Source organism: Homo sapiens, chromosome 7, assembly GCF_000001405.40.
Source record: "Homo sapiens chromosome 7, GRCh38.p14 Primary Assembly".
NCBI lineage: Eukaryota > Metazoa > Chordata > Mammalia > Primates > Hominidae > Homo > Homo sapiens.
The window spans coordinates 47,473,382-47,494,394 of record NC_000007.14 but is presented as its reverse complement, the minus strand read 5'-3'; the positions used below and the strand labels follow the sequence as shown (position 1 = coordinate 47,494,394).

The following is a 21,013-nucleotide window of genomic DNA, read 5'->3' as shown; positions in this document are numbered from 1 at the left end:
TTTCTTTACTTCTAAAAAGCATTTGGAGGGGAGTCGATTGAACCTCAGGAGGTTGGTTAGAAAGCTTAGCACTGCCCAGCAAGAGCTGGAGTGGCCCAACCTTGAACAATGGGTGGGGTCAGTAGGAAGTAGACTTGTGGGCATTTTAAAGGTAGACCTGTTAGGATTGGCATACCCACCCGGTGGGTCAGAGGCACGGCTTGTGAGTAATCCTTAGGTTTTGAATTTGAGACACTGGGCAGAGAGGAATGCCACTGGCAGGATTTTGTGAACAGGGGTGGAAGTTTAGCTTTAGACCTGCAGGAACCAGTTTAGGTTTCATGGAATATGTTTATGTGGACATTAGAGTTAAATGGAATGCCATTATCAAGATTTTGTGAACAGGGGTGGCAGTTTAGCTTCAGACCAGCAGGAACTAGTTTGGGTTTCATGAAATATGCTTATGTGGACATTAGAGTTGGCCAGTTGGCCATTTGCAGCTCAATGCTTAATTTTAAAAGATTTGATAAGTTGTGAGCTCTTAGGGTTTCTCATGTTTTCTTTTCTTGTCAGCTTTTTTTTTTTTTTGAGACGGAGTCTCGCTCTGTTGCCCAGGCTGGAGTGCAGTGGCGCGATCTCGGCTCATTGCAAGCTCCGCCTCCTGGGTTCATGCCATTCTCCTGCCTCAGCCTCCCAAGTAGCTGGGACTACAGGCGCCCGCCACCATGCCCGGCTATTTTTTTTTTTTTTTTTGTATTTTTAGTAGAGACAGGGTTTCAGCGTGTTAGCCAGGATGGTCTCGATCTCCTGACCTCGTGATCCACCCGCCTTGGCCTCCCAAAGTGCTGGGATTACAGGTGTGAGCCACCGCGCCCGGCCTCTTGTCAGCCTTCTTTAGAGCAAAGGACAGTTGGTAAAACCCAAACTGTTCATCATGTGATTGTTAAACACTCTTGCCAAAATGTATTTCAGGGAAAATTTCTCTGGTGCCTACCTTTGTGGAATTTACCATTTTCTTCCCTGAATAACTGTTGTATGTTTATACCTTTTCTTCCATTTTAAACTGAATTTCGAAGGCAACTGCTAATTCTTTCTCATCTCCGAGTGCCCCGAAGTGTGATATTTGATATGCCATTCTGCAATGAATGAATGAATGAGAGGTTGAGACAACTGACCCAAAGTCTGGCGAAGTGACCAGCTCACTTATTTGTGCTATTCCTTTTCTTTACGGATGACCACTGAACATTGACTGTCAGAGCTCTGCGCTTCACTCTGGAGGGTGGTTTTATTCGAGATCTGGGCATCCCCTCCCTAGGGGTGACCACTTCCTCTGCCTTGTCATTAGCAACAGGTCAGTGGAAGCCAGGGCTTGATATGAAGAGCCTGCTATTGATTTCATATGGAAACCTCAGATGCCACAGACCCCCAAGAAGCAGGAGCTGGGGGTGGCATTAGCTGATGTCATCGCCCGAGGCTCTGCTCCCTGTGAGCTCAGTGCCGTCCTGATGAACGGGCCTTGGCTCTCACAGGCAGTGGGAGCTCCTCCTGCTCCAGAGCTCCATGTCCGGAACCCCGCCTTTCTCAGCATGAGGCTGGCGTGGTTGAAAATACAAACACCTGCTTGCCTGCTCCCTGGTGGATGTGGGGCCCACCCCTCATTTTAAAAGCCTCGGAAAACTGTGCTTTGTTTTAGTGTTACTGCCTCCTTGGACCTTTTCCTTTAAAATAAGAAGAGGATATTACAAAATCACAGGAGCAGAGGGTCATAACATTTCTGTGCTCTTCTCTTGAAGCAGAAATAAAAGCACATCTTATTTGTGTGTCTCCTGAAGAAGGGGCCTTGCCACTGGGCCTTGAGGCACAGGCACCTGCCCAGTAGGAGGTGGGCAGGTGGTTTTCCAGGCAGAGGGAGCAGCCTGGGCTGAGGCTCACAGGTGGGAGGTAGGGTTAGGCAAGGGAGTTGAGCCTGGACTATGTTGGCTGCAGGTGAGGAAAGAGGATAAGAAGAGATCAGGTGTGGGGAGCTGACAGTGCCAGGCCCTGGAGTCTACCGTGCGGCAGGCAGGGCAGCCTGCCGATATGCGGCTGTGTCCTCCATGAAGGCCTGCGCACCAGGCACATGGGCTCCAAACCCAGCCTTCCTGCTGCTGGCCAAACAGAGAGCTGTGGTGAGGGGCTGCCCCCACTGTGGGGTGGCCAGAGCCATGACAGAAAGCCAGTGTAGGGTGGACATGAGATGATGACTCCCTGTCATTCGTGAGTGGGATTAGGAGTCACTGGCACACAGTTGGAAAGGGAGCCATTTCTGGTGCCAATAGTTAAGGTCCCCACTCAGTAGGCCCCTACAGCTTCTTCAGAGTCAGGTATTTTAACTTGTATGTTAAACATGAATAAATCAAAGCAAAATCAAAAAGCGTTCCTTCATTTGCTTAGACTACCAGTTGAGTGTTTTAGAATGTTCATGGTGTCAGGCATGGCATCTGGACCCGTCCTTCCAGGAGCCTGTAGGATCGCTCTCAGGAACTGGCTGTGATTGATGGGGCCATGCACACATCAACATACACCCGGGGCCATCTCTGTAGGACATGACTCTCGGGTTTCACCGTCCCACTCAGGCCTATGGTCTTGGGCAGTGGTTCCTCCCTGCCTTCCTTCAGGTGAACAGGACGGGGCGAGGGACATGTCTGTTTTGCCCCTGGTTAAGTATTATCATGAATCAGTCTCATTGCTGCAGCCTCATCATCAGAAAATTGTCCAGGAAATGCCTAGTCTGAAAAATATGGAGTTCGTGTTTCAGGAGAGAGGCAAAGTCTGTATGGCCGACTGAGATGGCCTTCGGTAACTATGCTGCTGTCTTTGAAAGGCCGTGGGGTCCCCTTTCACCCTCACTCCAATCTGACAGTGTATATTTGATATAGTCCCACTGTCAAGACTTTCCTATGAGCTTGAGGTTCACATCCACCCCGCGAGGTCGTATTATCCCTATGTCACAGATGAGGAGGAAAATTGAGTTCACAGAGGACAGTCTCCGTAAATTCATCAGAGCCAGCTGGGAGAAGCAGAGGGCTTGCCCTAATTTCAGTCTCTGGATGCAAAGACAGAGCTTTTTCGGTTCTGTCCAGTCACTCTGGGGCTTGAAACAGTATATATATGGTTTAAAATACATATTTGTTTAAAACCGAAGCTTACATTCAAGAACACCACATACCGTGCATGTTCAGCCTGATGCATTTTTTGGTGAATCGCAGCGTAGATGGACGAGAGGCTGCCCCTCTGCCTCTCTGCCCACTGGCTAGTGTCCTGGGTCATGTCTGCCCGCCTCGTGCTGAAGCCACAGCCGCGCTCTGTCGGCCTCTTGCCCCCACCATCGGCGGCTGAAATCTCCTCATCTGTGACAGCTCATGGCCTCATTGCTGCTGTTGGCTTTTTCAAGTGCTGATTTTGAGCCCCTTTCCTCTACTTCCCGACACAGAGCACTGAAGGATGGCATTCTGGTGCCCAACACACTCGTCTGGGCATGCTGGGGCTGTGCGCATTGCTGGGCACACTATTTCTGTTCTCTGTTGTTGCCTAACAAATCCCCTGTACACTCAGTGGCTGAAACCAACAAGCTGTGATGGATTCGTGAGCTGGCTGGGCAGTGCTTGCTTCATGTGGTGCTGACAGGGGGACTGGGTGGCCAGAAGGTCACAAACGCCCTCATGCCCATTTCCAACGATTGGCACTGGGCACCTCGGTGCCCCCTTGTAGGTGTCTCCATGCGGCTGTTCAGGCTTCCCTTCATTATGGGGGCTGGGCCCAAGAATGGGATGCTCCAGGCGAAGGCGGCAACTGCAGCTGTCTAAGGCCAGGCTTCGGAGTTCTGCCATATTCCACCACTCACAGCAGGCCACAGGGCAAACCCAGGACGAGCCCAGACTCAAGAGGAACAGGGACAGACTCTACCTCTTGATGGGGGAATGGCAGAGTTCCTTTACAGAAGACCCTGTGTGATGCCACCGTCTTTGAAAACACAACCTACTAAACTTATTCAGGCAATAGCATGCAGGGATGTTATTGTAGAGGTAATCATCAGTCTCTTCTGATGAATTAAAATGTAAATTACTCACAAATGTCAGTGTCAGTACTTTATTACTTTATTATTAATTATAGGTGGCCGGTGAGAATTATAGGCTGATCAGATGTAGCTGGTGAGGAATGCATGAGTTGGGACCTGGATTTTCCTTGTGGAAATGGATCCAGTAATGTGGATGCAGTTAAATCTTGGTCCTTGGCATTATAATGCTCTAATAAAAAGACGGTTCATCAACTCAATACTACCTTTTAATCTTTCTGCAATTAGGTTGGATTTATGATTTATGAGTTTTTCTTCTTGCTTTTTTTGCAAGCCATTAGCATTTTATCAATCACCAGATGTCCTCTTTCTCTTTTTGAAAAGATAAGGCGTAGGACTGTGGTAAGTGTTGGCCTTCAGGGGTCTGTAGACCCTGATTCTGCCTCTGCGGGCCTCGGCTGCACCATGAGATGCTTGGCCTCCCTGCTCAGCCCTGGTCTTGTAAGACAGACTCACTGCAGGAAGGCGTTTGGGCCCCCGAGCGATCCTGTGCTGTGCCCTTTGCTGGGACTTGTGTATACAGCATGCAAGTGATCCTGAAAGTGCTTTTCAGCCACTTCGAGAATCCCCTGGACATTGTTCCAACAATAGGTTCACATTTGATTTCTGATCTGAGACAAATAATGGTGACATAATGGATACAGGATACTATGCTTTTGCTTTAAATCTATTATATTCCCTACCAGTGGTAACTTGTTTGCCTGAGGCCAGCGAAGGCCTGGCCCTGCCTTGTGGGCCATGGGCCTCAACTGGGTAAAGGTAGCCAATGTTAAACAGCTACACAGCCTAAGTAAAGAATGAAAAAGAAGGTTCCAGTAGGTTCAGCTAAGCCCATCTGGGATAGGGGCACTACTCTTTTGTCTAAAAATTATTAGATTCCATAGAGTTGGATTGAAAGGGGAAACTGAGGCCCCTAGAGGTGAGAAGAGCCGAGACCAAGCCAAGACCAAGGACTGGGAAAGCTTGAGCCTTTCTTTTTTCATTTTACTGTGCCACAGACATGATCTTCACTAGCTGCTTGTTAACTGTAAGGAAAAATATAATGACCTGATTCTGGGAATTTTCCTTCTCTTTCTCTTCCGCTCCTGTCCCGGTTCTCAGCCCGCAGGCTGAGAAGGTTTAATTGCGTCTGCCGGGCGGGTGTTTTCTCATGGGGATTAGAGCAGGCTAAATTGGGCTTTGACGCTTAGTGGGATAACAGAGCTTCCTGAGGAATGTGAACCTAATTAGGGATTCCAGGGTCAAGCCTGACAAAGGAGACACAGAAGCAAAGTTAGGGTGAGCTCTTGAAGGAAGCAGAGAAAGTTAATAAAGTCTCGAATGTCCTCATTTTGTACTGCCATTCTTTGTATAGATCTGCTGTTGTTTGCAGGCTTGTGTTGAAAATCTGACCCTGGGCCTCTCTTCAACCCTCTACCTAGCCCCCTGTCCCCAGGCACCATTGGAAAAGCAGCCTTGAATGATGAGTAAGGCCACCTTCGGCATGTCAGGAGCCCCCGGCCTCACCTGGGGGACCCAGCTCTTGTTGGTGTGCCCAGAACGTTCTGTGTCGACCTGACGTCTCCACCCGTCCTGTCAGACCTTTGATTGTTAGTGCTGGGGGGTTGCATTTTGTTTCCCCAAATTCAAATGTTGAAGTCCAAATCCCCAGGACCCCAGAGTATGGCAGGATTTGGAGATAAGGTCTTTAAAGAGGTAATTAGGTTGAAATAGGGTCATTAGGATGGGCCTAATCCAGTATGACTGGTGTCCTTAGAAAGACTGGGACACAGACACACACAAGGAATGGCCACGTGAGGACACGGGGAGAAGGTGGCCATCTGCAGGCCCGGGAGAGAGGCCTCAGGAGGAACCACCCTGCCCACATCTTCATCTCAGCCTCCTAGCCTCCAGGACTATGGGAGGATAAACGGCTGTGGTGTCAGCTGCCCATTCTGTGGTATGTTGTTACAACAGCCGCCCCTTACCCGAGCTAAGACTGTTGCTTATTTAAGCAGATAAACACTTGGGTCAGTGTCAGCACTGGGAATGAGGGGACTTTCCTTCTGTGATTATTCTCCTTACCCTGCCCTTGTAATAAATGATAATAATGGTAATATAAACACATGAACAATGCATCCTTTTTCAATCTTAACTAATGGGTGAATTAAAGATCTTGCTAGTTTATTGATCAGTAACATACAATGTAAGAAGTCAAAGCTGTGGTATAATAGAAGTGGCCCTTCGTAAAAGCTCCACCCTCCTTGCAACCAGGCTGCTACTCCGTGTAGAGATTATAGAAGAGTCCCAACCCCCAATTATATCGTAAGGTCCTGGTGGTCAGCAAATATTTGGCGTCCGTATCTGTTTTTCCCTGGCTAGTTCAGGGCCTCAGAGGTAGGTTACCTCTGACTGTTTTTATGACTTAGGAAAGAAAGTACTGCCATCTTGGCGCCATCACGAAGTTTCTTTAAAAAGAATTGTTTTTGTAAAGATAAAATAAAAGTAAACTTCATTTCTGAGTCTTTGCAACTTATCTTAGAGTTAAAACTATTATGATTAAAGTAATTTTATGTATGATAGAACTTGTGCATAAGGTGATGTCTCTGTACTTGGCTTAACTCAGTGAATTGCTTTCTCCCTTGTCTGCAAGGTTTGGCAAGGTCAGTGGCTGGCCCGTTTGTCTCTACTCAGTTTCTACTTGTTTTGCACCTGAATGCTGTCCCACGGATTTGCATTCGGTGTTGTGTGGTGTGTGTGCATTTGTGGAACGCCCGTTTCATTGCTGTGGGTTGGTATTGTTGAGCTGATTCTCCCCTCCAGAATCCTGACATGAACAAGGTTTGCCCAGGCCTGCTTGATACCAGAGTAGAGTAGAGACTTCACCTGTGGGCAGAATGACCTGGAGAACAAGCAGGAAGAAACGATTAGAGGAGCCAAGCCTCCAGGCTTTCCCTGTAGCTGCCGGGTGTGTAAAAGCATGCTTGACACTTGAGGGTGCTCGCTTCAGTTCTTTTTTTTTTTTCTTTTGAGACGGAGTCTTGCTCTGTCGCCCAGGCTGGAGTGCAGTGGCACGATCCCAGCTCACTGCAACCTCCCAGGTTCAAGCAATTCTCCTGTCTCAGCCTCCTGAGTAGCTGGGATTACAGGCACGTGCCGCCACGCCCTGCTAAGTTTTGTATTTTTAGTAGAGACGGGGTTTTGCCATGTTGACCAGGTTGGTCTCGAGCTCCTGACCTCAGGTGATCCGCCCATCTGGGCCTCCCAAAGTGCTGGGATTATAGGTTTGAGCTACTGCGCCCGGCCTCTCTTCAGTCCTTACTTCATGTTTCTGTGAGGTTCTAGGAAGCTGATTCACGTGACCCACCATGACTGGAATTTTTGATGATTTGGAAAAGATAGAATTGAAATTTACATTTATTCTCTTTATACAGAATATGCATGTTTATACAGAATATGTAGTGCATCAGCTATACCCACACGGCTTTAGAGAAACTGATGGAAAAATGTCACTTTCTATATGGCTGTTTACAAAGTGAAATTTAATAAGAAACAACAATAAAAGCTGAGTTTGGAGTTTTATTGTGTTCATCAAAAGGAAAACAATGTCGGTCAAGCACGAGGAGAACTGAGTTGTCCTTTATTTCTCCCAGGACTTGGATCTCCCAGAAGTAAGCAGAGAGGGATTGGTTCAGGTTTGAAGAGTTGATCTCACTCCTTACTGAGGAAGATCTGCACCCGAGGCCCTGTGTCTGTTAGCACTGGGGGTAATGGTGGCCGGGCCAGTGCACCTTGGATGAAAGCACTTTCTAAGGCAGAATGTACTTGTTAGCTGAAGTGCTTTCATTCACCTTGGGGGATGGAACTGCAGGGCTAAGCTTTGTTGTGTGTGCACACACACAAACACACAGAGACACATACAGGTATACACTCACACACGGAGACACACACAGACACGCTCTCACATCAATACACACACATGAGGCATAGGCATACATAGAAACACACACAGACACACTTACAAAACTCAGTTTCACACATGCACGTTCATACATTCTCACAAGCACACACGCTCACACCCCCTACACTTTTACACTCCCATGCACATAACTACTGACTCACCCACTCATATGCAAACTCACAACACTCTCAAACTTACACACATTCACACAAAAGAATATATTTGCAGATATCCACAGTAAAATATACCTAGTCAAACACAGACACCACCACATGTAGTCACTCACACACACACACTCACCCACACACCCACACTCACACACCTGCACTCACCCCCACACACACTCACCTCCACACACCCACACTCACACACCCACACTCACCCACATTCACACACCCACACTCACACTCATCCACACACACATACGCTCACCCACACACTCACATTCCCAAGGACACAGTCATGACTTGGTGGCAAGCACTTGTCCCTCTGCCCCTCTGTCCTGTGGACCTGCTGGCTTGGGGACAAGGTTATTGATGCCAGTGTACCCAGGCACCCACGTAGCCAGGTGTGGGGCAGGCACAGCAGTGTTTGTTTGTGGTTTCCTTGGGAACAGTAGATTAGGATCCCAGGATAGCTGAAAGAAGGCAATAAAGAGGCTCCCAAACAGGCTTCTCAGAGGGGCCCTCGCCTCCACCATGGGAGGGACGGATCCCGGGGATGCCACAGCCCATGGCTTTTGGCCCACAGCCCATGACCCACTGCCTTCTCTCCAGCCTTCTGTAGCTGCTAACGGGAGCTGCTCTGCCCCCTTCCTTGTCTCACTGTTGTCACCTCTTGTCACCCTAATCCCTGAGGGAGCTGCTCATTATGAGAGAGGGTGCAGCTCCTATCAGGAGAGGAGCCTGGAGCTGGGGCACCAGCTGGAGTCATCTCTGGGAGAGTTCCCGTGGCTGGCGCTGGCCCTCTCTGAGACGCAGCTTCTCATACACAGAGTGGGGGCTCGCTGGCCTTATTGTGAGGGCTACAGAGAAAGACCTACAGACAGGGCACTGTTTCGTGTTTATCCAGCTGATTCGAGTCCACACATTGGATGAGCCGTGGGCCTCCCCAGGAGTGTGCCTTGACACAGGGAACGCTGCCTGGTTCTTGTCTCATCCTTTCACGCCCCTGCAGCTCACTCAGCATCATGTTACAGAGCAGGCAAAGCACAAGGCCAGCGGGTGCCCATCTAGACTCCTGGCCATGCCACCGCACACATCCCAGCCATGCTGGCTGTGCACTGATGGGGCCAGGCGCAGCTCAGAGGCTTCTGGTTGGCGTCTGCAGGACGGTCTCAGGGGATGCAGTGCACCGGGACCCTCCCAGCCCTGCAGCGTTGGGTGGCTGCTCTCTCTGAATAAGTCAGACTGGCATGTTAAGAACATAAGTGCTAAAGAAGTGTTAGCTTCTTTGTGCCGAGGAAGGCCAAGCCCACCTGGAGTTGGCCCCGACCCACGGTGCTTCCCTCTGTCCAGTGAAAACAGTGAAAGAACCCCACAGTGCTGGGGAATGTGTGATCAGAGCTGGAGTTTGAGGTGAGGAGAGCAAGCAGGTGTGCCTTACTCCCTTACCTGGCTCCATCCACAGGAGATACCCTCCTGATGCATGGGAGGCAGGGCAGCCTGTAGATCAGTGGAGAGCTGTGTGCGCTCCAGCAGGGATGCAGCTCTGTGCACGGAAGCACTGTGCTTCTGCCTCTGCTAAGGCTGAAGAACAGCAAGTGACACTTGACTGTCCAGCAAATGCAGCTGATAGCACCGTCGCACAGTCCCCATAGGTTCCTTGGTGCTGAGCAGGCCGGTATGAGCATCCCCAGCCCGGCCGCCTCATCCTGTGGTTCTGTCTGTGGTCAGCTTACCTGCCTTAGTATAAGGGAGGAAAAGTGTGACGGAAATACAGTCTCTTTTCAGGGACTTCCTGTCCTGGAATCTGGTTTTAGCCACATTGAAAGAACAAGTGCCCTCTGTGTTCACTTGGTCATGGTTTTTGCTAAATGAGATGTTTGTACTTATAGAAATGATGAGTTTTCTCTTTATCAACAGGTGACTCTTTGCTTCTAGAATGTCCCTTTTTCTCTGGTTGGTGCTCCATGTGCATTTTTATTTGCAAATCCACTCCCACAAAAGGTCTTTCCTGAGACATTTTTGTCTGCATTTTGTAACAGCACATGTGCAAACAGACAGTAGGGCCTGTGACTGGTTCTCTTGGAAGAGAGGAGCAAGTTCAGTAGGATGCGAATGTGGAGGCTCAGGGCAAGGCTGCCTGCCATTTGCTCTGCAGAACCTGGGGGCTGCTCGCCCCCTACTGTTCCCCAGCTCACTTTCTTAAAAACGATTCATTTTATGCAGTTTCTATTACGTGAGCCGTAAGCTCTGTGGGGTTAGGGACCAGTCTGCTTCATTTCCAAGTGAAGTCCTGGCAGGAGAAGGCTGTCAGTGAAAATGTGCAGCACAAGTGATGGATGGAGTTCGACAAGATTGGGCGTGCCAACTTATCGCGCGAGCCGGTTAGCCATATAAGCCGTGGATGGTCTGGGGTGAGATGGGACTCGGGCAGTCCCGGCTTACAGAGCTCACCTCTCCTTTTCTGTAGGACACCCTGGGGCCAGGCCAGGTGGTGGGCCGTTATTGCACCCCATCTGGCCACAGAGGGATGTGGGAACACACAGACCTGGCTTCTGGACCAAATCCTTAAGTGGCTGCCGTCTTTAAAACTCAAGTTTCTGACATTGCACAAGGCTTTTCTTTTCATTGTCTCAACAAACGTGTGCTTCCAGAGAGTGAATTTAAAAAATGTATTATAGACTGTATTTTTAAGAGAGTTTTAGATTTATACAAAAATCAGACACTCAGGCCAGGTATGGTGGCTCACGCCTGTAATCCCAGTACTTTGGGAGGCCGAGGTGGGTGGATCATGAGGTCAGGAGATCGAGACTATCCTGGCTCACACAGTGAAACCCCATCTCTACTAAAAATACAAAAAATTAGCCAGGCGTGGTGGCGGGCGCCTGTAGTCCCAGCTACTCGAGAGGCTGAGGCAGGAGAATGGCGTGAACCCGGGAGGCGGAGCTTGCAGTGAGCCAAGATCGTGCCACTGCACTCTAGCCTGGGTGACAGAGTGAGACTCCGTCTCAAAAAAAAAAAAAAAATTGGACACACTCTTCTTCCTCTTCATATATAAACATTTTCCATTCCTGTGGTACATTTGTTACACTTGATTAGCCAATATTGATACAGTCTTAGTAACCAGAGCCCTCGGTTTACATTAGGATTCTCTCCTGGTGTTGTACATTCTGTGGGTTTAGACAAATGCAGAATGACGTGCGTCCATCCTTATAGTGTCAAGCAGAATAGCTTCATGGCCCTAAAGAGTCTCTGTGCTCTGCCTGTTCCTCTCTCCCTCCTAATCCCTGGCTTTCACTGACCTTTTCACTGTCCCATAGTTTTGCCTTTTCCAGAATGTCACAGAGTTGAAATCATACAGTATGTGGCCTTTTCAGAGTGGCTTCTTTCACTTAGTAATATGCATTTAAGTTTCCTCTTTGTGTTTTCCTGCCTTCATAGCTCATTTTTTTTTTCATCATGCTTGACATGCCATTGCAGGAATGCTGATAGTGAGTTTGAAAGGCAGGGGCCCTGATTCTTCGCACATTTCTTGCCTGCATGTCACATGTGGAGTGAGGCAACAAGATGCATGTGTGCACTGAGTAGATACCATGCTTGAGGGGAGATAAGTCACACCGCTCTGTTAACCATGGGGTCTCCTTGTCCGGCTGTTTCCGCCATCCTGTAAGGTTTTGTCTGTGACTCCTTCTGTTTCCAAAGCTGTTTTTGTTTTGTTTTGCTTTACATTTATTTGTTTACTTATTCTCTCATCCATTCATCAAACTTTAAAGGGGCCCTGAGAGAGGACCCCTGCCCCAGACATCCGTCTGAGTCAGAGCCATGGTGGAGTAATGATGTGTCCCAGACACAGGAACGGCCATGTGTCACATACTCCCTGAGGACTGGACTGCGTAAGATAAGCAAGAGGCTATAAATAGTTATCCTGGTAAAAGCCAAGATTACGCCGCCGCCCACTCCAAACCACAAGTACAATTAGTCAGATCTCTGAGATTCTCTACGATTCTCCTTCGGTTGCACATTTTCAGAAAACTCTTTGAGAAGGCAGGTGCCAGGGATCTGGAGGGGGCAGTGCCAGGAGAAAGCTAAGGAGTGAGGTCACTCACCAGGAACTGAATCCTGTTTGCTGGCGCCTGGCTCCTGAGCGGCCCCCCAGAGCAGCGCAATGCCTGCCTGGCTCCCTTAGCCCCTGCCCTGTGCCACTCTTCTGAGCTCCTCACGCGCCATCTCTTAATTCTCACCATGACCCTGCCCGGAAGGCACTATTGTTACCTGCAGTTTTCAGATGTGGAAACTGAGGCCCAGAGAGATTAAAGGCCAAGGTCCTGTGGCTAGTAAGTGGTGGAGATCCTGCCCAAGGTGGGGTCTTTGCCCTGCAGGACTGGTGGCTCCCTGTGCCTGTTACTAACTGCCTCTCCTGACTGTGTTTGAGCCACCTTGCCTCCGTTACTTTCTTTATCTTTCCCAGGGAGCTCTCGGTCTTCAGAGACTATGGTGGAGTCAAAGTCTCCTCTCCCCGTCTCTTGTGCGGAATGGAATAACCAGGTTGACATTGCCACATTCAGACTCTTCAGTTCTACTTGTAGAAATAGTTCTAGAAAAGATGGCCCCTTGTGTAGAGAATGCATGCCCCTGGGTGAGGATGGGAGGAGTGGGGTCTTGAAGACCACCAGGCAGAGCCTTCCACCTCCTTCTCTGGGCCCCGCTCCCAAGCTCCCCAAGCACGGACCGACTCAGAGGTTTCCATCCTTGAGGTCTACCAGTTCTTTGTGAAAGTGGGGGCTAAATTTTGTATCTATGAGTGATTTGCATTTTTCTGGAAGGGGAGGCCCCATGGTTTCCATGACATTAGCAAAAATGACAGGGACTTTCCAAAAGTGAACAAAACCCTGGACTCTCTTAACTCTAAATCTTGTCAGTCTTGATCTGCTACAGCTTTGTAGCCAGAGTGAGGTTAGAGACAGTTTCATTCAGTCTTTGGGAGCCTGGCTTGATTATTATGCTAATTTTTTCCTGGAGAATCCATTTGCTTATCTGTTTCTTCTCTCTTTGAAAGGTGGTGATTCCCTGCGGTGTGCAAGTCCGACTGGAACAGGTAAGCCCTTTGCATTTCTTTGGCTCCCTTGTTCCATCCAAGAAAGGACTAAGTCCTTTCTTGAAGCTGCTCCCTCTTTGGGGATCTTTTGGCTTCCTCTAGGATCCATGCCCTCCCTTTGACCTGTAGCTTGCATTCACAAGGCTCTATCTGAGGTCCTTTGACCATGCTGCACTGGCCATTTGCATGGTTTTTTAGAGAAGAGGATCCGCTGCGCCTTTGCGGGAGCTGCCTTTCTATCAGTAATAGTTACCTTCGGGGCGAATCTCCCTGGGCCGAGTTTCCTTGGCTATAAAGTGAAGACAGCACAAGTCTGTTGTCTTAGTGATAAAAACCTGGACAGTGAGGGTGCCTGGGTCGCCAGGTGGCTGTGGACAGTGTAGTGCAGTGGTTTGTAGACTGACATCCAGCTCTGACAAATACTGGGTGTGTGTGTGTGTGTTCAAATCAGATTGAAGGTAAACACAATAGCACTTTCTCTTTGGCTTGTGATTAGGCAAATTTAAATTGCTGTCTGCTTTTCAAATGCAGCTCCTTGGAAGGTCATGGTACCTCCTGGTGTTTTCTTTGCCTCCATCCTTTGGAGCTGAGTGAGTGAAGCTTTGTTTCTGAGGGCTTATTAGCAGCTTGCAGGATAATTGAAAGGCTCACTGTGCCAAGACAGTAGGATACAGGACCCTCTTCTCTCACTGCAAGTCAGAAGCGACTCCCTGGGAGGCAAATGGGAAGCTGCCTCTTGCTGCTGGGGAAGTGTGTGCAGGTCTGGGCCTCCCCGGTGGGGCAGGGAAACAGGTGCACCCTGTGGTTCCTCCTGGGCATCTGTCAGGTGTGTTGTTCCCTGTACTTCTCAAGTAGGGCAGGGCTTTCTGCTCTTGGCTCCCCCTAGCTTCGCCATACACAGAATCTGGGGTGTTCTGCCGGAGATTTGGCAGCCTTTCTGGATTGTGAGCCTGGTGGCCTCCAGACATGGAACTGGCTAACTGGCTCTGTCTTGTGGTGCAGTAGGACATCCTTCCCCAGGCTCGGCCAGCGGCGCCCGTGTGGCAGCTTCCCTGCTTTGATGAAGTCAAGATCAGATCCTGGCTCCAGTGGCTGGGCCTTGCCCTTGCCCCCTGCCCATCTGAGCCTTGGTTTCCTCCTTTACCCAGTGGGCGTGGGGGTGGCTCTCTAACCTCATCACTTGAGTGGCCAGGCCCTGCCCTCGCCCCCTGCCCACCTGAGCCTCGGTTTTCTCCTTTATGCAATGGCCATAGAGGTGCTCTCTAACCTAGCTGCGGATGAGAGAAGAGGGACTACAGGGTCAGGCCTGTCACAGAAGCCTGGCCACAGGCGGGGTGCCCTTATTATGCTCCTTTTAATGCTGGCATGTGGTGTGGTCTCTTTGGTTCTGGAAGAGCAAAGTATGCATTTGAGGTCATAGGAACGTTAAAAATAAAATCTCACCCAGAAACCTAAAATATTGACAAACTATGAGAAACATGTTGCAGCATCAAGAGCTGAGGCCGTCCGGGGCGGGCGCCTGCCTGGCTGTCCCTGCTGGCCTCAGCTGTGTCCCCAGGCCTGTGGTCCAGTCTCACTCCATTCCTCCTGTGGCACTCACCGCCGACGGGGGGGTGGGGGAGTAGGGGGCGTGGGGGGACTTGGGAGCCTGTGTTTGTAGTTGGTTTTGACAGGCTGCGGTTTGTGACTGATTTCCTCAGGCTTGTCATAGGCCCCGGGAGCCAGGGGCTGAGGCCCAGGTGGCCCCAGAGCTGTGTGCCTGTCCCGAGGCCCTGGCTGAAGCCTGTTTTCCTGGTGGCAGCTGAGGCTCTCCCACCTCGCAGACAGTCCCTTGCCATCAGATTTGTTGGTGAGCCCTGGACATCAGAGGCACCAGAGGGCTAAAGCTGTGTGCTGGCTCTAAAGATGCCGGTTGCAGGGCTGTCAGACAGGCCAGAGCCCAAAGGGCCCATCCTGGCTGCTTAGATGTTGTCATTGTTCCCTCTGGAGCCCAGGGTCCCAGAGAGGAGTCTTCAGTCTCCTGGAGCACAGCCCTCCCCCTGCGTCAGGACACGGCCTCCCTGTTAACCTTTTCACAGGTGTGGTTGCTAAGAGATCTCGCTCTTCTAGCCCAGCCTGGCTCCTGCCCACTCCCCTTGCTGCTGCTCTGTGTGTGTGTGTGTGTATTATGTGTGTAATTGTTGTGCGTACAAATACATACATGTATGTTATGCATGTAGTTGTTACATGTATATGGATAGACATGCATGTTATGCATGTAATTTTATTGGTACATGAACACATACATGCATGTTATACATGTAATTGTTATACGCACACAAATGAATATGTATGTTATACATGTGTCAACACATGAATACATACATGTGCCATACATATGAGAGTTATGTATGTGAATATATATGTATATTAGGTATGCAGTCTTTATATGTGAGTGTATATATGTTATGTAATTGTTTATATGAAGGTTTGTATGCATATATTATGTATATAAATGTTACACATGTGAATATATGTATCTTGTATGTAATTATTAATGTGTGTAGGTTTTTAATGTAGTTGTTATATATCTGAGGGTATATATATGTGGATAATGTAATTGTTACCTGTGTGTGAACATATGGATGTGTGTGTTTATTATGTATGTCAGTTTATGTGTATGTGAATGTGTGTGTGTGTGTGTGTGTGTGTATTTCCCTGAGATGAACATGCATGAGTCCACTCTGTACTAAGCTCTCTGTGGCCTTTTCAACTTGCCTTGACCAGCTGGCCCCCAGGTGTGGTCCCTGGACCTACAGCCTCAGCATTGCCTGGGGACCTATAGAAATGCACATTCTCAGGCCCCAGCCCAGACGTACTGAATTGCTGGGGCCCTGCGATCGGTGCTTTAACAAACCCTCTGGCAAGGCTGATCAGCTCAAGTGTGGGAATCCTGGCTGTGGGCTGGAACTGGGGCAGAGATCAGCCCGTGGGCGTGCAGTCAGGGGTGGCCTTGGCAAATGCCTGCCTTTCTGGGCTGCTCTCCCCGTGTGGTGGTGTGGGGTCATGAGAGGGCCTTTGATGCCAAGACACCCAGTTCCCTCACATCTTTATTTTGCATGGAGCTTTCTCCCCTAAACAGGGCAGTGCTGTCTTCCTCCTGGCATGGAGGAGTAAATGGAAGGATGGACGTGGCAGCCCAGCCCAGCCTGAGCACTCTTCTGCCTCCCTGCTGGGTGGCCTTGTAGAAGCAGACCCCCCCATTTAGCGGAGCTTGGGCAGGAGGGTTTCCGCCTGCACCGTGTGGCTTCTCAGGGCAGAAAGCACAGAATCTTTTTTTTCTTTCCTGATCCTGTCTGGGCTGAGTCTTCTGGCACTGTGATCCTTGGCATTTTGGATGGGCATGGAATTGCTTTCAGATAATACTGACATCCCCGATGTCACCTGGGTTGTCACTGTGCCCTGTGGCACCTGGCCAGGTCACCTGATAGCTGTTTTTGTTTTTCTCTTTGTTACCATTCATTGAGTACCTATTCTGTCTCAGATGCCCTGCCCTCCCTCACCTGCTGGAGCTCAGAAAACTGAAGAAACTCCCACATCACCCAGACACTAAGGGGCTTCTGCTCTCTGGGGTGTCAGTGCCCCTGCAGGCCCCTCTGTGACCTGCCCTTAGACCTGGCTGCTCTTCTGCTCTGTCCTGTGCTGGCGGCCCCTCCCACACCTGGAGTTTACCTGGCACTTGTACCCACCCCCAGGCCCTCCTCTGCTCTGCAGCTAACCTGAGGGGCATGACCCCTTTGGAGAGGTTCTAGAATAGCTTCATCCCAGCATGTTTTATCGAGGTGAGCTGCCGGGTCTGTCAAAATTCCTGGAGTTGTGCTGGCTGAGGGCATGATTGTTTTGAAACCCCTGGGCCTAATTCCCTGGTAGGGCAGAAAGAAGGCAGTGATGAGCCTTGCCAGCCATACTTACCGACATCCCAGGACAGGACTGTAAGGGTGTCTGTCATCTTAATGACATACTGTGTGAGGGTTCTTTGTCTGCAGGCATAGGGTGCCTTTGTGGCTCCCCGGGGCATTTAAGACACAATGGAGAAGGAACCTTTTCCGTGATTGTGGCGCATTGAACCCGTGGCTATTTACCTGTGATGTTCGTTTTCATATTCCTGGTAGCAGAATCTTCTGTTTACTGCAGCAGCTTACAAAAGTGGGATGTGAGGTTAGATTAATTCATGGACTCAAAATCGGCACATAGTATTGTTGAGAAAGGAGCTGGGAGGCAAACCTCCCTTTGTGAATGTCAACTTGGCATATGTTACATGGACACAGGGTTGGAGCTTCCTGGGAGCCAGTGTGAAAAGGAAACCACAATGATTGGCATGTGCCTTTCTGGAAGGTGGGAAGAAACAAGAATCAGCAGAGAAAATGTGCGACGTGGGAAATTATGGAGGGTGTAGACTAAGGCATCAGGGGCATGCACCACGTCTCCATGAGTCGAGCAGAATGATGATTTTGGAGGGATGTCAGAGGCAAGCTATTGCAGCATAGCCTCATTGGGACCTCTGGCTTTTAGAACTATAAAGGGACAATTGGTGTCTTTCTGCTTACATTACCGTTCTATGGGCTGTGGTCTTCTGGGTCATAGAGAGAATGCTTCACCATTGTTCAGGTAACTACTGTCCCTAAGGCTGGGAGAGGTGGCCGGGCTCCTTACAGGGGAGTCACAGCCTGTGGTCCAGCTGCTCTGTAAGTCTACGTGTATGTGTACACGCAGTGCTCACATGCGCACACAGGCACAGAATGTAGTGGTAGGTGTGAGCATGGACTAGAGTTGGGTTGAGTCCCATCCGGGGTATGACACTGGTGAGCTGTGTGGCCCTGAATGGAGTTCTTTCACTTTTCTGGGCTCCACTTTCCTCTTCTGTAAAATGAGGACGCCACCAGCTCTTCTTGGGGTCACTGCCAGGATCGAATGAAATAACATGCTTAGATCCTCAGTGCTAGTGTGACACAGGGAAGACACGTGATGTGTGGGGAAGAGCCTGGTTGGTTGTCCTGTGAAGGTGAGTTGGCAGTGCGGTTCTTCTGGTGCCCACAGCCTTTGCTGTGTGCCATTCATTGTTGATCTGGTTCTCCTGATGGAGAGAACCAGTCTGATGAGTTCCAGAGCGTGTCCCCTGCTTCCTGAGGGTGAGGGCACCGATGACAGACACAGTAGATGATTCCTGTGATCCCGCATTTGCAGACTTGGAGGCACCACGGTCAGAACAAGGGCGCATGCGAGTCTGTCCTTGGTAGTTGCAGGTTTGCAGGATCTTTTCATGATGCTGCGGCCTAACAGTGGTCCGAATGGTGGCCCCACAGCTTTTGATTGAAGTTCAAGGGCAGAGTGTCCTTGTTTTTTTCCATCCTGTGTTTACCTTCATACACTCTGCAAGCGATTGATTCATACCAGCAAATCTTGATGCCCTCAGGTGCAGGGCAGCCTTCACTAGGACACCCCGAGGCCATGTATGGGACCCACTTCCCCGCCCGGCCTCCTGGGCAGCCCACAGCCAGCCTGAGTCCAGGGAGGGCCTGGCCCCCCCCCCGGGGAAGTGCCGCCTGTTTACAGAGGGGCCACTGTCCTTGAAGGAGGCCGGTGTCTCCGCCTTCTGGTGGCGGCCTCTGGTGTGGGAGGGTTCAGGGCAGTGCCTGATCCAGCTCCGGGCAGGTCCCGAGCCCGCACCAGCTGCCTGCACTCACGCTGTGATTGTTCTTGCTTGGCCTTGGCCACTGTGGTCTGTGGCCCTGGAAGAGGGGTTGGGTAAGAATAGTGGCTGAGTCATCAGGGCGGTGCTTCTCTTGGTTCACCTCACCCGAGGCCAGTGGGCTAGTTCCCTCCAAGGTGACTGCAGGGCTCACATTTCAGCCTGAGGCTGGAGCTCACACTCCACCTTTGCACAGCTCTGTGTGCAAGATGCGTGTGTCTGTGGTCTGTGGTGTGTGTGAGGTGTTTTGTGTGTGTATGTTGTGTTTGTGTGTTGTGTGATGCAGTGTGTGTGTTGTACGTGAGGTGTGTTTTTGTGTGTGAGTTGTCTGTTGTCTGTTGTGTGAGGTGTGTGTGTTGTGTGTTGCGTGTGAGGTGCTTTGAGTGCGTTGCAGTGTGTGTAGTGTTTTGTGTGTGTTGCATGTGTTGTATTGTGTGAGGTGTTACCTGTGTGTGTGAGGTGTTTTTTTTTGTGTGTGTTGCGGTGTGTGTGTTGTGTGTGAAGTGTTGTGTGTGAGGTGTTTTGTGTGTGAGGTGTGTCTGTCGTGTGTGTTGTGTGTGAGGTGTGTGTGTTGTGCTTTGTGTGTTGTGTGTGAGGTGTGTGTGTTGTGCTTTGTGTGTTGTGTGTTGTGCTGAGGTGTGTTGTGTGTGTACATGTCTGTGCTGTGTGTGTTGTGTGTATTATGTGTGAGGTGTTTTGTGTGTGTGAGGTGTTTTTTGTGTGTGTTGTGGTGTGTGTTGTGTGTGAAGTGTTGTGTGTGAGGTGTTTTGTGTGTGAGGTGTGTCTTGTGTGTGTTGTGAGGTGTGTGTGTTGTGCTGTGTGTGTTGTGCTGAAGTGTGTTGTGTGTGTACATGCCTGTGTTGTGTGTGTGTACATGTCTGTGTTGTGTGTATTGTGTGAGGTGTTGTGTGTGTGTTGCAGTGTGTGTTGTATGTGTAGTGTGTGTTGTTTGTGTTGTGTTTTGTGTATGTGTTGCTTATTTTGTGTATGTGTTGTGTTGTGTGTGAAGTGTTTTGTGTGTGTTGTGAGGTGTTTTGTGTGTGTTGTGTGGGTTATGTGAGGTGTGTGTGCTGTGTGTGTTTATGTGTGTGTGTTGTGTGTGAAGTGTTTTGTGTATGTGATGTGTATTGTTTGTGAGGTGTTTTGTGTGTGTTGTGTGTGAGGTGTTTTTTGTGTGCTGTTTTGTGTGTTGTGTGAGGTGTTGTGTGTGAGGTTTTTTTATGTGTGTTGTGTGTGTGTGTGTGTGTGTGTGTGTGTTGAGACTTGCTCAGTATGTTTTACTTGAACTCAGAAAGCCAGACAGAGGAAGTGACCAGAGCAACAAGACCAACCAACACAAGGACAGGACAGATGTGACTGTCAGGAAGTCTTGCAGGTCACGTGCTGCCATCCCTGCCTCTGCCCCAGTGACCGTGATGGAGTCTCATGAAGCTATTTGATTCTTTCAGAAAGAATGCTGACCAAATGGATGATGAGGAGCTTCAGATAAATGAAATCACTTTAATGGTCTCCATTTTATTTTACTGAAAAATTAAGCAAATTTCCAACAAAACACCCACACTTTCCACCTGTAAATTACTGGGTGTGGGGCTTAGTGAGCTGAGCATCCAGTGATCTGGGACAGTGGATCCAGGTGACCTATGTGGGTCTGTTCTGCCGGCCCCAGCCTGCAGTGGTTTCTGCATGCATGTTGTCACAGAAGGCTTCCCACAAGTCTCTGGGTATGCATTTCTTGTCCTCACGGCCCATAAGTCCAGGTATTTGACTGGACAGTGGTTATTTCCTGCTTATAGATTGTTTCCACCCCTCAGTAAACTTCAGAAACACAGACACGGGTCTATACACCACAGCAGAGTCTCGGCTGAAGATCACCTACACGTGTATGTGTGCGTGCTCATGGTTTCTGGATTCACCGCTGCCCCTTCCAGATTCTGTGTGTCTCATCAGGAGTCTTCATGCAAACATATTTGACCAGAGTCACAGTGAAATTGAG

General features: G+C 49.6%; 1 protein-coding gene across 22 annotated transcripts in view, besides 8 other annotated features; it reads left to right on the top strand.

Annotated features, from left to right (window-relative positions):
- The window catches only part of TNS3 (tensin 3), a 307,433-nt gene that overhangs the window by 88,192 nt on the left and 198,228 nt on the right, over positions 1-21,013 (top strand). For 16 of the 22 annotated variants that reach the window (XM_047420733.1, NM_001410878.1, XM_047420724.1 and 13 more), the window contains one exon: positions 13,254-13,292. The exons of 4 other annotated variants lie outside the window; for them this stretch is intronic. Coding sequence is in view for 7 of the 18 variants with exons in the window: in NM_001410878.1 (NP_001397807.1) it covers positions 13,254-13,292 (39 nt within the window). In the remaining 11 variants the exon portion in view is untranslated. Of the gene's footprint in view, positions 1-13,111; positions 13,151-13,253; positions 13,293-21,013 lie in introns of those variants that run through there. 2 more of the 22 variants (XM_011515481.3, XM_047420738.1) reach the window with 1 other exon arrangement.
- Positions 215-806: an enhancer, noted in NCBI's record as "H3K4me1 hESC enhancer chr7:47533187-47533778 (GRCh37/hg19 assembly coordinates)". NCBI's record gives its function as "activates a minimal SCP1, AML or CMV promoter by ChIP-STARR-seq in primed H9 embryonic stem cells {active_cell/tissue: H9 hESC(primed)}" and the evidence as "EXISTENCE:reporter gene assay evidence [ECO:0000049][PMID:30033119]".
- Positions 5,335-5,881: an enhancer, noted in NCBI's record as "H3K27ac-H3K4me1 hESC enhancer chr7:47528112-47528658 (GRCh37/hg19 assembly coordinates)". NCBI's record gives its function as "activates a minimal SCP1, AML or CMV promoter by ChIP-STARR-seq in primed H9 embryonic stem cells {active_cell/tissue: H9 hESC(primed)}" and the evidence as "EXISTENCE:reporter gene assay evidence [ECO:0000049][PMID:30033119]".
- Positions 11,857-12,404: an enhancer, noted in NCBI's record as "H3K4me1 hESC enhancer chr7:47521589-47522136 (GRCh37/hg19 assembly coordinates)". NCBI's record gives its function as "activates a minimal SCP1, AML or CMV promoter by ChIP-STARR-seq in naive H9 embryonic stem cells {active_cell/tissue: H9 hESC(naive)}" and the evidence as "EXISTENCE:reporter gene assay evidence [ECO:0000049][PMID:30033119]".
- Positions 12,977-13,658: an enhancer, noted in NCBI's record as "OCT4-NANOG hESC enhancer chr7:47520335-47521016 (GRCh37/hg19 assembly coordinates)". NCBI's record gives its function as "activates a minimal SCP1, AML or CMV promoter by ChIP-STARR-seq in naive H9 embryonic stem cells {active_cell/tissue: H9 hESC(naive)}" and the evidence as "EXISTENCE:reporter gene assay evidence [ECO:0000049][PMID:30033119]".
- Positions 13,115-13,204: an enhancer, noted in NCBI's record as "active region_25977". NCBI's record gives its function as "activates an Ori minimal core promoter by ATAC-STARR-seq in GM12878 lymphoblastoid cells {active_cell/tissue: GM12878}" and the evidence as "EXISTENCE:reporter gene assay evidence [ECO:0000049][PMID:35858748]".
- Positions 13,659-14,342: an enhancer, noted in NCBI's record as "OCT4-NANOG-H3K4me1 hESC enhancer chr7:47519651-47520334 (GRCh37/hg19 assembly coordinates)". NCBI's record gives its function as "activates a minimal SCP1, AML or CMV promoter by ChIP-STARR-seq in naive and primed H9 embryonic stem cells {active_cell/tissue: H9 hESC(naive and primed)}" and the evidence as "EXISTENCE:reporter gene assay evidence [ECO:0000049][PMID:30033119]".
- Positions 18,685-19,228: an enhancer, noted in NCBI's record as "H3K27ac-H3K4me1 hESC enhancer chr7:47514765-47515308 (GRCh37/hg19 assembly coordinates)". NCBI's record gives its function as "activates a minimal SCP1, AML or CMV promoter by ChIP-STARR-seq in primed H9 embryonic stem cells {active_cell/tissue: H9 hESC(primed)}" and the evidence as "EXISTENCE:reporter gene assay evidence [ECO:0000049][PMID:30033119]".
- Positions 18,751-18,810: a silencer, noted in NCBI's record as "silent region_18168". NCBI's record gives its function as "represses an Ori minimal core promoter by ATAC-STARR-seq in GM12878 lymphoblastoid cells {active_cell/tissue: GM12878}" and the evidence as "EXISTENCE:reporter gene assay evidence [ECO:0000049][PMID:35858748]".